Below are 14,550 nucleotides of genomic sequence, written 5' to 3' on the forward strand. Positions count from 1 at the left end.
AAGTGCCCTACCACATTGTGTGAATATGAAGTTCACAGGCTGGTATTCCATATCAGTCTATTCATACTTGGTTGGCTATGCATGTAAAACGATTAAGGGGGGGTGAGTCACCTCACAGTAAGAGAAGAAAACCTTCTTTACTGCTGTCAGCCTGAATTGTTAAGAATGACCTTCTAAAGGTGGAAATTGCCCTCTGTGGTATCAGGCAGGGTTGGCGGTGGGGACTGGCAGCCCCTTCCTCTTCTGCTCAACTTGAGTTTAATTTCTTAGCCAGTTTGTTTCTCTTCATGTTTCACTGCTTTCCCACCCTCCATCTCAAAACATGTTCGAGACAACAGATAATTTTGGAGTGGCTTTTATATTTAAGGGCAGGCCAATACTAAGAACATATTAATTTAAACAGTAGCAAATCAGCATTTTGTGAACATAAAAGGATTACGTAGGAAGTTCTGGCCATGCAGTCCAAAGCTTTCCCACAGGAAGGAATGTATGTTGTGTTGAGGAGAATGTCTCTCTGAAATACATAAGCACAAGTCACTGGTGGTTAGTGAATCACTCCCAGTCACATTCATGAACAAAACCCTCTAGGTTGGGCAAAATCGGGCAGGATTTCAATTTAATTCCACAAACACTTGTTGAGCAAGACCTGGGTTTCTGTTTGCTCTGCCCCATATATATGAATTGTTCTCCATTCTGTGTTGAGGTAATGTGAGGAGTAGAGAAATTGCTTTAGACAAACATTACTGTTTGGAAATACTCGACCTAAGTGGATTCAGTTACTTTCTGAGAGTTCAGCGAGGTTGGAATGAAGATTGTAATTTGAGTTGTATATAAAACAGAGAAAGAAAAACATTTTGCCAACTCTTGCATTCATATATATTTTCCATCCCTGACATGATTATGTTTTTATATTTCCCCAATTAGATTTTAAACCATTTGTAGGGAGGAAACTGGGTTTCTTTTAACAAGGTCTCCCAGGCACGTACCGCAGGGTTAAGTACCTTACAGACTCTCGGTAAATACTGACTGCCTGAGGGGAAGTGAATATTCCCAAGGGTGTTTCCTTAGGGCTTGGTATTTTCCGTGAGAAGCAGACCTCGTGTGGAAGCGTTGTTCCTTTAAGTTGGGATGGTTTCCTGAAAGGTTTCAGCACAATGACACTGATTAGCTGCCAGACTAATTGCTCACCACCACCAACCTTGTTTCGTAAGCAAACTGGGCCCGAGGGTAAAATAACATGCACACTGAGCCAAACTTTCCAACATGTGCTCCTAACCCTTCCCCCTTGAATTCAGAAAGTGACCTTTTGGTGAACAAATGTTCTTTCACCTTCACTGTTTAGAAGTTGTTAACACCGGGCCAGCGACGTGATTGATGCACGTGCTTTCCCCTCCTCTGGAGTAGGTTCCACTGTTTCCCCCTCGGAGCTGTGAACTTTTATATTGTTTTCCTTTGATAAGGTGGCTGGGTTGCCCATAAATTTGAATGTATGTTTTAATGACCTGGTGGTTGCTGAAAGAGTGTTATTCTGCTTTGTAGGCTTCTGGCTTTTCTTCTTCAAGGCACACTTCTGGCTAAACGTTTTCTGAACATGGCCTTCTCTTAGTAATCTGTTTGAAAAGTCTGTGATTTCCCACCCTCCCCCCGCACCTCCACAAGCCCACCTGGGTCTCTTGTTTGCAGTTTAATTAGTTTAATTCTCAGGCAAATGAGAAATCTTTTTTGAATCTAAGGATGCCAGATCTTTAAAGTCAGTTCTTTCAGCAAGCTTCAGTTTTCCAAGTAGAAGAAACATCAGAAAGGATGGAAAGATCAGTGCTGATAATTCTTAGTTATTTTTAATTTTGGGGGGTGGGGGCGAGTGTGGAGAGTAAGGGTAAATCCTTCCTCAAAGCCCAACATTGCAGATACCAACAAAAGGGGAGATGGAGGCAGTAGGGAAGAGTGATTAAAGGTACCAACTAGGAGGTTAAGTGTGTGACTTTGGGCAAATTACTTATCCTGTCTGTGTCTCAATTCCCTTTCCTATAAAGTGGAAATTATACTAATAGTACCTACCTCACAGGGTTGTTATGAAGAGTAAATGAGTTAATATATACAAAGTGTGTAGGCCAGAGTGCCCGGTGCATTGAAGGTGCTACGTGAATGTTAGCTAGTATAGATTCTCCAACAATTCTGGAATCCCAACAGTTTTGACATCAAACAATGGTTATTTTTCAGTTTTTTAAAGTAATTTATTTGATGGCAGAACTAACCTGAACTGTTGAGAATATTTTTGTCTTGATTTCATTTAATGTGAATATAAGTTTTGCTATGGAAATATTAATGTGTTTGATGTGGGGCCTGCCCCAGTCTACCAGGTGGGTTATAGATATACGGTATATGCACCATATTACATTTACAACATCAGAAACATGCTGAATTCTGAAACATATCTGACAGCACAGGTTCAGATAAAACACTGGATGTATGCCGAGATAGAAAAATATATTGGCAAAAATACTTCCTATTTATTACCTATCCTGCTTCTTCTTGGTTATACCCCTTGGTGTTTTTCTCATAGGACTGAAAAAAAAAAATAGAAATTTCACAGGCTGTTATTTTATTTGTGAATATTTATTGAACCCATACCATGTGCTAAGCAGTCAAGGTCCTCTGCTGTCAGGGAGCTGATTGGCCAGTGTTAGCTATATATTATTAAGGGCCTACAATGTAAAAGGCCTTAATCTAGATACATTATTCACATAATCTCTAGTTCTAACAATAATCAGTTCTACAAATAAAGGAAAAATGCTCTGAGGCATTAAATAACCTGCTCAAAGCTAGTCACCTATTCAAAGCAGGTAAATGGTTGAGCTGGGACTTAAATTCCAGTCTGGGTGGCTCCATGGCCTGTGCTCTTTCCACTTTACCACATTTGCTCTTGCTAAGAGCACTCAGATCTAATGGCTCTTAAAGAGAGTCTTGTAGACTTTAATCTCTTTCTGACATGCCACGTTATGTGAGGCCTGACAAACAAGAAAAGCTCACTGGTGCACTTGACCTCCCTGGAAAGGTTGTGTCACCGTGTGCAGGGGACACGTCAGCAGTCAGTGGACAAGTCAGGCAAGTCACAGATGAACATTATGGAATGGGGCATACATGAAATACTGGAAACTAGTTTGTGTAACAACCATTTGTAATTCTTATGGAAGTAAAATTTATATACCATTGAAATCACAGATCTTAACTGTCCAATTCAATGAATTTTGGTAAGAATTCCACACCTGCATATCCACCACCCCAGAAAGTTTCCTTGACTTCTTCCAGTCAAACCTCACCCCTTAGGAACCACTGTTCAGATTTCTTTTCTGCGTAGTTTAGCTTTGGCAGTTCTTGAGCTCCATATAAATGGAATCAAACAGAATGCACTGTTCTATAAATGGCTTCTTTTGAACTGTCTACTATTTTTAAGACACATCCAAATTGTTCATGCATCAGTAGCTCATTCTTTAATATTCTGTGTAGTATTGCACTGTCTGAATAGACCACAATTTCCATTTTCCCGTTGTTGGATATTTGAGTTGCTTCCAGTTTGGAGCTATTTAATAAAACTGCTATAAACATTATTGTACAAGTCTTTTATGGATGAAAATTTTAATCTCTCCTGGGTACATACCTAGGATTGTAATTGATGTATATGAATTATAATAATATATAATTTTCATAAGGCAGATGTATATTTAGTTTGACAAGAAACTGCCAGTTTTTTTTAAAGAGCTTGTTTACATTTAATACCATCAATATCTGAGAGTACCAGTTGCTCCACATCCTTGGCAATTAGGTATCAGTCTTTTAAATTTTAGCTATTCTAGTGGGTGTGAAATGATAAATCATTGCAGTTTTTGTTTGTATTTACCTGATAATTAATGATGTTAATTAACTATATTTTTATGTGCCTATTGGCCATTTGTATATTTTCTTTTGGGAAATGATTCTTCAAGACATTAGTTCACTTTTTGCTGGTTGCATTTTCATTGATTTCAGGAGTTCTTTATATATTGAGATAATAGGTCTTTCTCAGATATATCCATGTATGGCAAATATTTTTTTCCCTGTTCTGTAGAAAACTTCCAAGTTGGATTTTTAAATCTCTAATTTCCTAGGTGAGATGACCTTGGGTTTTGGTTCCTGTCTCATGCTGATTGTATTATTTGTTAGGATGGTTTCCTCTTTCTAACAAGTTTATTTGCAATTTACAACAGGAGGAACATTTGCAAAAAGAAGCCCATGTTGCTTGTGGCCCCCAAATTATTCCCTTTCTAGACACTCCTCTGAAGTTATAATGAAAATATGTGATTCCTTCTTCAAAACTGCTTTGTACCCTGTTTAGGATCATACTTATTTAATTATGTAAAATAAAAATTACTGGACAAATTAAAAACACAATAGCTAAAAACTTTTATTTTTCCAAAAAAAGAGACTTTTAGAAGGGTGTGGTAATTGTTTAGAAGTTTTCTTAATTATAAAAGTAAAACACATTTCATGTAATGTAAGTTGGCAGTTTTTTTTTAGAAAAGGAAAACTGAGTGCTGAAAGTTAAAATTAAAGTTAAAAAGTTATTAAAAAGCAAATAAACCACTCATAGATTTCTGACTTTCAGGATTAATCTGTACTGCACTTTTGTTCGACAAAGTATGCTCTATTTTTTTCTGAAGGTAAATGTATTAACAATTCAGGAGATATCACTGGAATTGGCTCCTGCTCACATAATTAAGCCAGATCCTTCAAAAGGCTGAGAGGGAGAATTGGGCTCATTAATTTCTAACATCAAATCTACTTCATATATGTTCCTGTTCGAACTCTCACCTAATTTAAGAGGATCAAATCACAATCTAAGGTCACAATTAGGGGAAGGAAGCATGAGTTTCAGCCAAATTTTATCCTCTTGGGTTCATACTAACTGCAGCGATGAAGCATTTTTCCCATTTGGAGAGTGGCGAAGTTGGGCTATTATTCAAAGAATTCTCTCCTATCCTCTGGATCCAATCCCTTCAGAAAGAGGTCACATCTCCAACCCAGGTTTCCTAGCTTCTTTGGCACATTGCTGTTCGTCTTAGTGACTTTTTCTTAATTCACAGGCCATTGCTTCTGTTATGGGGTAAACTGTGTCCCCTCAAAATGCATATGCTGAATGTGACTGTGTTTGGAGATACAGTCTTTTAAGGGGCTATTAATGTTAAAATGAGGTCATTAGGGTAAGCCCTAATCCAATGTGACTGATGTCCTTATAAGAAGAGAATATCTGGACACAGGTAGATGAACAGAGGGAAGACCTTGTGAAGACACAGAACGAAGATGGCCACCTGCAAGCCAAGGAGAGAGGCCTCAGAAGCAACCAATCCTGTCACCTTTGATCTTAGATTTCTAGCCTCCGGGTCTGTGAGAAAAATGCAATTCTGTTGTTTAAGCCACCAGTCTGCGGTACTTGACTGTGGCAGCCCTATAGCAAACTCATATAGCCTCTAATGGACCATCACTCCAATGCTGTGAATATTAAGTTCTACTAGGTTCAGGCAGACCCTGAGCTAAATGGCAGCCTATGTATTACTCAAAACCTCAGAACATTTACACCAATCACTTCTTTTAAAAAAATTCTAGTCGATATTTTAAAAAAAATACTTATTTGATGGTTTCGAAATATTACATTAAGTTTGGCTGGGCGTGGTGGCCCACACCTGTAATCCCACCACTTTAGGAGGCCAAGGTGGGCGGATCACTTGAGGTAAGGAGCTGGAGACCAGCCTGGCCAACATAGCGAACATCCATCGCTATTAAAAATACAAAAATTAACCAGACATGATGGCTGGCAACTGTAATCCCAGCTCCTAGGGAGGCAGAGGCAGGAGAATCATCTGAGCCAGAGAGGCAGAGGTTGCAGTGAGCCGAGGTTGTGCCACTGCACTCCAGCCTGGGCAACAGAGTGAGACTCAGTCTCAAAACAAAAACAAAAACAAAAACAAAAACAAAAATACAAACCAAAATATTATAGAAGTTTGGATTAATATATATCTCCTGAATTCTACCTGATTTTATATAAAATGTAAAATATCACATTTATTTTAGAACTTAAAAAAAATCTTTTTTTGAGACAGGGTCTTGCTCTGTCACCCAGGCTGGAGTGCAGCGGTGTGATCGCGGCTCACTGTAGCCTTGCCCTCCCAGGCTCACGTGATCCTCCTACCTTAGTCTCCCGAGTAGCTGGGACTACAGGTGTGCCACTACACCTGGATAATTTTTGTATTTTTTGTAGACATGTGGTTTCGTCACGTTACCCAAGCTGGTCTCAAACTCCTGGGCTCAAGCAATTGCCCGCTTTGGCCTCCCAGAGTGCTGGGATCATAGGCGTGGGCCACCACGCCTGGCCTATTTTTGAACTTTTAGAATGACAAACAAAAATCTTTCTTTAGATGTTTAGCTGTAAAATTATTTTATTCCTGGGAGAAGTTGCTGAACATTTCTGTGCCTCAATTTCTCCTCTAAAATGGGAGATAATAACAGTGCCTAGCCTAGCTCATGGAATTTTTGGGAAATCAAATAAGATTTTTACTCAGAATAGTGTTGGCACATGATATTTATTAGATAAAATACTTTGGAATCATACTGATTAGAAAATCAGCTCGGGAATACATGTGTATACATACACACCATTTTTTTTCTTAATATACTTATTGTGTTGAGTTAAAACCAGGACAGAGGGAAAAGTTTTCAAGGTGTGAGAACCCACTCTGAGAAGCGGTGGTGTTTCCTGTTTGTTTTCAGCACTTCTGAGTGGCTGGCTTCAGGAGAGAGCTTCGGACCCATTCATTAGGGGCCACAGGTGTCTTTCTGCTGCTCTCCATCTGGGCTCCATCACTGGAGGAGGCACCAGGGGACCACTCCTGGGCAATGACTTTTGGCCTCCTTCTCTCCCCCTCTTGCCCTTTGCTTCCTGAAGCCTCCAGTTTATTAATATGAAATTGAGGGAGGTCATCTTCTCCAAAGTCAATACAAATTGGCTGGTCGCAGTTCTTCAAATGTGTGGAAGCTTCCTCTGCTCAGAAACGTAGCTCTCCTTCAGGGAATTCATTAGAGTTGATAGCTCTTTAAGGAGTACACAATTTCTGGGAAGTATCCCTATTAGCCATTCACCCCCTCAGAGTTTGTTTCTGAAATCAGATAATGGCATTTTCTCCTCTGATACCTCACTGCAGGAACTGGAGGGTGCAAGCAGGCAACGAGGCTGGAGAAGCAGGCCTGAGCAGCAGAGGAGGCTGAAGGGGCAACGGGCTGTGGGGAAGAAGAAACACAGCCCTGGGAACTTAGAAGGGAGAGCTTAAAGGGGCAGCAGGCCCTTTATACATGCTCTCGCGATAATACTGTTTAAGGTTCTGTGGAACTTTGTTGTTGCCTAATAGGGACCGAGTATACCAGTTCCCCTCCCCATTATTTATTTATGGGAGCATCTCTGGCCTGAGGCCCGGCACTGCTGGAGGTGGAAGCTACCCTCCTCAACCTCATACTGTGTTTACCTGCCCTCCCCGTTTCTCCATCAGCCCCCACCCTGCTGTGCCCACCTCATCTCCTTAGTTCAGGACCTACTGTTGGTCTTACTTAGCCAGCATCAGGGTTCCCGCTGGGATCCCACATTCAGACTTGTGTTCCCTCCGCTAGAAGTGCTGAGCTGTCCTCATCTCTTTGCCTTTTTATCCTCCAGAATCTACACAGATGTCACCTCCTTAGGGAGGCCTTGTCTGAGTCCCCTGAATGGGGCCAGGCTCCTCTCTCTTATAGCTCCCAGCAACCACAATCCCATCCTTCCCAGTGCGTACCTCGGCTGGCAATGACACATTTGTCATTGTCATTAATATCAGTAGCTACTGACAATGATATTTGTCATTGTCATTAATATCTACTTCTTACGCTAGACTGTAAACCCCGTGAGGGAAGACACATCTGTCTTTTCCAACATTGTGTCCCCAGGTCAAGTATAATGTCTGACATGAAGTGAACTCTCCTTAAATGTTTGTTCTAAAGACTAAACGAGGGCCCCTTGGGGCATGCTTGTTCTTCCTCTGCCTGACATCTAAACAATGAAGCTATCTTCACCTTATAAGGAGGCTGGCATGCACACGTGAACTAGAGTAATTCCGAGGAGCAGACCAGGTGTTTCCAAGGCCTCCTGAAGCTCTGGCCCAGGTGACTCCTGTGCCCATGAATCTTGGGAACATGCACTAGGCATGGCGGTATCATAGGTGGCAGGGAGCAGAGGAACTGGCTCTCCATGGGTCTCCTGGATAGTGGCTATGGAGAGCACAATCATAGTTTATGTGTTTATAAGACCAGTTCAGAGGAGCAGAAATTCATTAGATGCGACTTTGGTCATTTCCCCTGTAATTTCAACTGTGACTTTCTCCCATTAGGAAAGACTATAATAACCTAAAAACCTTATTTGAGCTGATTGTACAATTGTTGACAAATGATGCAAGCTTGCATTTTCTCTGAATTTTGCACATTTCTAGTGTATTCATGACTTTATATGGATGTAGCTCTAAGGCTTTAATAGAATGTCTTATTTCTCATTCCTGTGGTTAGTAGAAATAGAAAAGCAAAGTCTCACTTACTTTTGTACTCTATTGCGAAATTTTGATGATTTATTTTAAATGAGGCTGATTTTTTTTTCATGACCACAAAACAACTGCCAAACCTCATTTCAATGTGTCAGATGCATGAATTATAATGATGAGAACTGCCTGCGTGTCTGTTACCTACAAAACTTGTGTTTTATAAGCATTAAAAAGTACCAGTGAGAAACTGGAGTTTTAGAGACACTTGCAGCTATTTGGCATGTTCTTTCCATTTTCTGAGATTGGAAGTCTGACTTTTGAGTGCTAAGCATGAGTTTAGAGTGCTCTGTGCTCCAGAGTGAGGGCATGGGCAATGGAGACTGGTCTAAATGGAATGATTCATGGTCTACAGATTTAATATTTAGGGAGTAAGATATAATTACATCAATGAAAACCAGAGACCTTATCTCCTGGTTAAAATGAATTTCATTTTATTGAGGATCTGAGGTTCATAGTCTATCCTAACATTTCATATTTGGAAGAGGCTCTCTAGGTCAATGAGAGTGTACCAGAAAGATACTAGATCAATTCCAACTCTGCCATTCCCTAATTATGTGACATTGGCCAAAACACATTTAACTCTCTACTTCTTACTTTCATTTGGAAAATGGGAGTTGTAAAATCTGTCCTAATCTACCTCACAGGATTTGTGGTGATGACTAAATAAAACAATGTTGGTAAATTTCAAAGGTGTGCAAAGGTAAGAAATTGTTTCCCTATATCTTGTAGTTTTCTTTTTCTTTTTTTTTTTTTTTTTTTGACATGTAGAGTCCTATTTCCTCAACCAAGTTATAAGCATTCTAAGACTTAAAAATTGGCCATAATTATTAGCTGGGGTTCAGTTACAGAGGCAGAACAACTAAAAAGGTGTAATATGTGAGGTTTGTTGTCACAGGCATTTAACTTTACACAATTGCAGGAGCTGATTAGGGAGTAGTCTTTGTGTCTGTTGCTGCAGCTTTAAGTCCAGAAAGTAGGCCACCTGGAAGGGAAGATGGGCATAAAATGGAGGTGAGCAAGAACAATTGGAAGCCACAGCACATATCGGAACTCAAGTCCACCTTGCTATCTCCCACCATGATGTGTGTGTCACATGGGAAAAGTGGGTGCCCCTCGTCATGGAGCTAAAGACATAGCTGGCCCAGAAATTGAAGAAGCTGATGGAGGATCCAGGTGGGGCATCTGTAGGCCCAATCTCTTCCCTGTGCTTGTGTGTTAAGCCAGAAGATACATGATAATGTACCTGTGCTGCAAAAGCATCTTCCTCTACCCTTTGAAGGTCAAAAACAATATAACTGCTTTACTTTCTTGCTCTAAATCTTGTGCAAATATATCTATCATGGCACATCCTGACACATGAAACACAAATGAGGCAGCTACTTGCTACATCATTTGTGGGACCAGTGTAAAATGAAAATGTGGGAGCCCTTTATGCAAAAAAGCAGGACAACTGCACTTTCTTTTGCATTCTCTCTCTGGACCTGTCATGGTGTTTATTATTTACCATTTAATGTCACAGTCCCTAACACGTGGGATACTTGGCAGGTAAACACAGACCTCATAGGCAACTTGGGCCCTGACCCTGAGTGCATGCCTGTCTCCACTCTGCCATGCTCTGTGCCCAGGACCCCACTGGTTTGGAGGGAAGTAACAGTCAATATGGGTGGAAGGAGAGTGGGTGGCTGAGAACCAATCAGGGAGGTGGGAAGGAAGTAAGAGGCAGGACCATGCATGAGCCAATTCTTCAAGCCTCCAGAACATGCTCCAGTATCTCACTGGACTGCACTGATAGAACATGAATTGAAAGACAATAAATATTCCCATACTGAGTATTAAACCAAAAGCACAAGGCCCTCCTTCTGAGGACAGGTCACTGGGCATTTGCACTGTTTGCATGTCCATCAAGCCAGCCCTGCCTGCAGGAAGGGCATTCTGGAAAAGGCAGTTCAGCCTAGCCAAGCTGACATATTACAAGCTCATGACACCCTGCTCACTGCCTATCTCCTGCACTTTTCTCAAAGGGCTATCATTATGTGTTAAAGCAAATATAACAGAGGGCTATGAACACAGCCTTGTTATTTTTCTGGGGTAGTCTCTCAGACATGGACACACACCACATTGTGGCATTGCTACTAGTGTTTCCCAGCCACTGTTTCCCTGAGGACCAAGACTTTTTTTTTTTTTTTTTTTTTTGAGACAGAGTCTCACTTTACCCAAACTGGAGTGTAGTGGCATGATCTTGGCCCACTGTAGCCTCTGCCTCCTGCGTTCAAGCGATTCTTGTGCCTCAGCCTCCTGAGTAGCTGGGACTTCAGGCATGTGCTATCATGCCTGGCTATTTTTTTTTTTTTTTTTTTTTTGGTAGAGATGGGGTTTTGCTATGTTGGCCAGGCTGGTCTCGAACTCCTGACCTCAAGTGATCCACCCACCTTGGCCACCCAAAGTGCTGAGATTACAGGCATGAGACACTGTGCCTGGCCGAATCAAGACTTATGATGTGACATTGTTAATGATATGCTATTACTCACCTGTGTCAATCCTTTATAATTGAGAGATATTTCGTTTTACAGTTGGATTCCACAGGCTGATGGGGATATTTGCATGACTGAATTTTTCATTTCAACAATGCAGTCTTTAAGATTTCTCCGATGGGATGTTGCAAGATACATGCTGAGCATCTTGTTGAAGGAGACAGTCCCCTGTGGAGCCCTACACCTCTACCTGTCTTACTGGGTATGCCAAAATGCAAGGCCCTGGTTGCTCTCTACCTGGGCCATTTCTCAAGGTTGTGTTTGCAACCAGAATCCTTAAGAGATGAGGTAATGTCTCCCTCTGTGACAAAGAGCAGGCTGCTACAAAAGCAGCAGATTCCCCATGTTCAGCATTTGTATTCATTTGCTAGGGCTGCCACAACAGCGTATCAGAGACTGGGTGATTTCAACAACAGAAATTTGTTTTCTCATAGTCCTGGAGGCTAGAAGTCCAAGATCGAGGTATCAGCAGCGTTGGTGTCTTTTGAGGCTTGCAGATGGCTCTCTTCTCCAAGTCTTCACATAGTCTTCCCTCTGTACCTGTTTGTTTCCAGATTTCCTCTTCTTAGAAATACACAAGACACACTGGATTAGGGCCACCCTAATGTCTGACTTAACTCAGTTACCTCCCTAAAAACCCTATCTCCAAATACAGCCACATTCTGAGGCACTTACGGGTTAAGACTGGAACATATAAATTTTGGGGTCACAGTTCAGTCCATACCAGTGTTCCTTCCTGTAACTCAACTTACTGCCCTCCGTGTCAGCACTGTAGGACTTGAGGGTAAGAAGAACTAACACCATAACACTGTTTGCTGTGCTGTGAGTAACAAGGCCTATTGTTTTGAACTTAGGTGTTTGGTGTCTTCTAGCATCAAGGAAACAGTAATATCCTAATAATCAGATTATAGACAGGGCAAAATAAAATCCCAGACCTGATATACCTTGCATGTGGCATCAAAAACAACATTTCCAGTAGTATCTCATGACGGATCCAAATGTAACAGTGGGAGTGACTTTAATAGTAGCCTGCCTGTTGAGAAATCACTACTGGTCCTATTTTTTTCCTTCTCATTGGAGTGAAATTTGTCTCTCAATCTTCCATCCCTACACAAGGTATTTAAGCCTTTCACTTTCTCGTCCTAGGGTGTCCATGTGTCTAGGACCCCTGAATAATGGCCTGTCTGCAGCAGGACAGGGCGCAGACAAAACCTCTCAGACACCGAGTTAAAGAAGGAAGGGCTTTATTCAGTTCAGAGCTTCGGCAAGACTCAAGTCTCCAACAACCGAGCTCCTCGAGTGAGCAATTCCTGTCCCTTTTAAGGGCTCACAACTCTAAGGGGGGTCCACATGAGAGGGTCGTGATCGATTGAGCAAGCAGGGGTACGTGACTGGGGGCTGCATGCACCAGTAATTAGAACGGAACAGAACAGGACAGGGATTTTCACAGTGCTTTTCTATACAATATCTGTAATCTATAAATAACATAACCGATTAGGTCAGGGGTTGATCTTTAACAACCAGGCCCAGGGTGTGGCGCCGGGATGTCTGCTTGTGGATTTCATTTCCGCCTTTTAGTTTTTACTTCTTCTTTCTTTGGAGGCAGAAATTGGGCTTAAGACAATATGAGGGGTGGTCTCCTCCCTTTCCACAGATGGTGAGTTGCTGATGGGCTTCACTGGAGAACAGCTTCTACTGCACTTCATTCCCTCCTTCTTGTGGCAGAAGAGTTTGTTCCCTCACCCCTGACCTTCAGGAGCCCTCTTCCCTCCTGTATGCTTGCCTCCCTTTTGGGTCATAACTCTGTCTCATCTCCACCCTTCCCTAACTTTATCTAGTCTCTGGGACAGGGAAACTGGCTTCGTAAGCAGGAGTAAAAGACTCTTCACCTTGCACTTGGCGCAGCAGTTTCTTTGGATGTTTGTTTTGGCTTTTGTGGAGGAGGAATGCTCTCTTAGGAATGCTCTCTTCTGGTGCCCATGAACGAAAAGAGGAGGAGGGATGTGCACAAGGACAGCCAGATAAATATCTCAAGCTATGATCTTCTATGCAGCTTTGACATTTCCATGTCTTTCAGAAATGAAAACAATAGTTGCTAATGTAAATGCTATTCCTAGCACACAGGCAGAGTGCTCTAGACAAGGTCAGTTGCTTTAGAAATAGAAGCCTCAGCTCAGATTCAAAGATACTCAGATCAGATTCTGGACCACTTTGAGAATGCGTTATTAAAAAATGACCAGACTAAATGTCAGAAGTTCTGATAGGAGGCCTTGTTACATGGGATTTTAGTAGCAACAATCTCAAATGACTAACAAGTGCAGAATTTATAACCCAGTCTAGGTGTGGTGCTTTGTTCTAAGTGTTAGATAAGCACAGCATTGGTAGCCATCTCAGCCCATGCTCTATGGTCCCCCAAGTTGGAGGTAATTAGACTTTGGTTACGATGGCATCTGAACAGGCAGAAAGACTGTTGGCAACATTTTCTCACAAAGCCATATGCCAGCATCACTGGAGTGACTGCATCTCCAAGGACATGTGTGCCACTGTGGGAGGACACCTAAGCTGTGTGTAGAGGGAAGCCACTTCACTAAGAGGCCTCCACCCTTCAGAGTTAGAGGATGGTGTGAAACCTCCCGCCAGAAAGGCTGGTAGAGAAGGCCTTCTAAGTTCTGAATTTAATCCTTTCTTCTGTCTCCTGTTATCCTCTGAATTGTGACCCCAAAATTCATATGCTGAAATCCTAGTTCCTAATACATAAAAATGTGATCGTATTTGGAGAGAGGGTCTTTAAGGAAGTAATTAAATGAAAATGAAGTCATTGGGGTGGGCCCTAATTCAGTGTTACTGGCATCCTTAGAAGAAGAGAAAATCTGGACACAGATAGGTACAGAGGGAAGGCCACGGGAACAAGATGGCCACGTGCAAGTGCAGGAGAGATGCTGCAGTAGAAATCAACCCTGACAACCTTGATCTTAGACTTGTAGCCTCCAGGACTGTGAGAAAATAAATTTCTGTTGTTTAAGCCACCTGGCCTGTGGTATGTTGTTGTGGCAGCACCAGCAAATTAAAGACCACCCCCACCCCCACCCCCATTTATACTCCAAACACATAAAATGATAGATAAAATAGAGCAAGAGGTAAACTAGAAATATCTAGCCATGTTTTAAGATAAGGTAAATATCTCAACGGATGAGATTTGCAAAATAGCCTGAGGGGCTAAAGCTGTGTGTCTGCTGGATGTCAAGTCAGGTAGCAGGCCGTGAATCTAACATGTGAAAGGGTAGGAATAAAAACACCCTTTCCAACTCACTCAGGTGGGGACCAGAGCCAAGCTCACTGCTTGAAGCCAGGGCCTAATGTGATTCATCCACCTG

General features: G+C 41.9%; 1 long non-coding RNA gene across 1 annotated transcript; it reads right to left on the reverse strand.

The window, feature by feature from the left end:
* Positions 1-420: 420 nt before the first annotated feature.
* Positions 421-2,123, reverse strand: LOC124901019 (uncharacterized). The gene is made up of 3 exons (XR_007058845.1): positions 2,059-2,123; positions 1,002-1,136; positions 421-514 (listed from the first exon to the last, which is right to left on the reverse strand). It is a non-coding gene; the product is annotated as an uncharacterized LOC124901019 (long non-coding RNA).
* Positions 2,124-14,550: the final 12,427 nt, after the last annotated feature.

This window comes from Homo sapiens, chromosome 5 (assembly GCF_000001405.40).
Source record: "Homo sapiens chromosome 5, GRCh38.p14 Primary Assembly".
Classification (NCBI taxonomy): domain Eukaryota; kingdom Metazoa; phylum Chordata; class Mammalia; order Primates; family Hominidae; genus Homo; species Homo sapiens.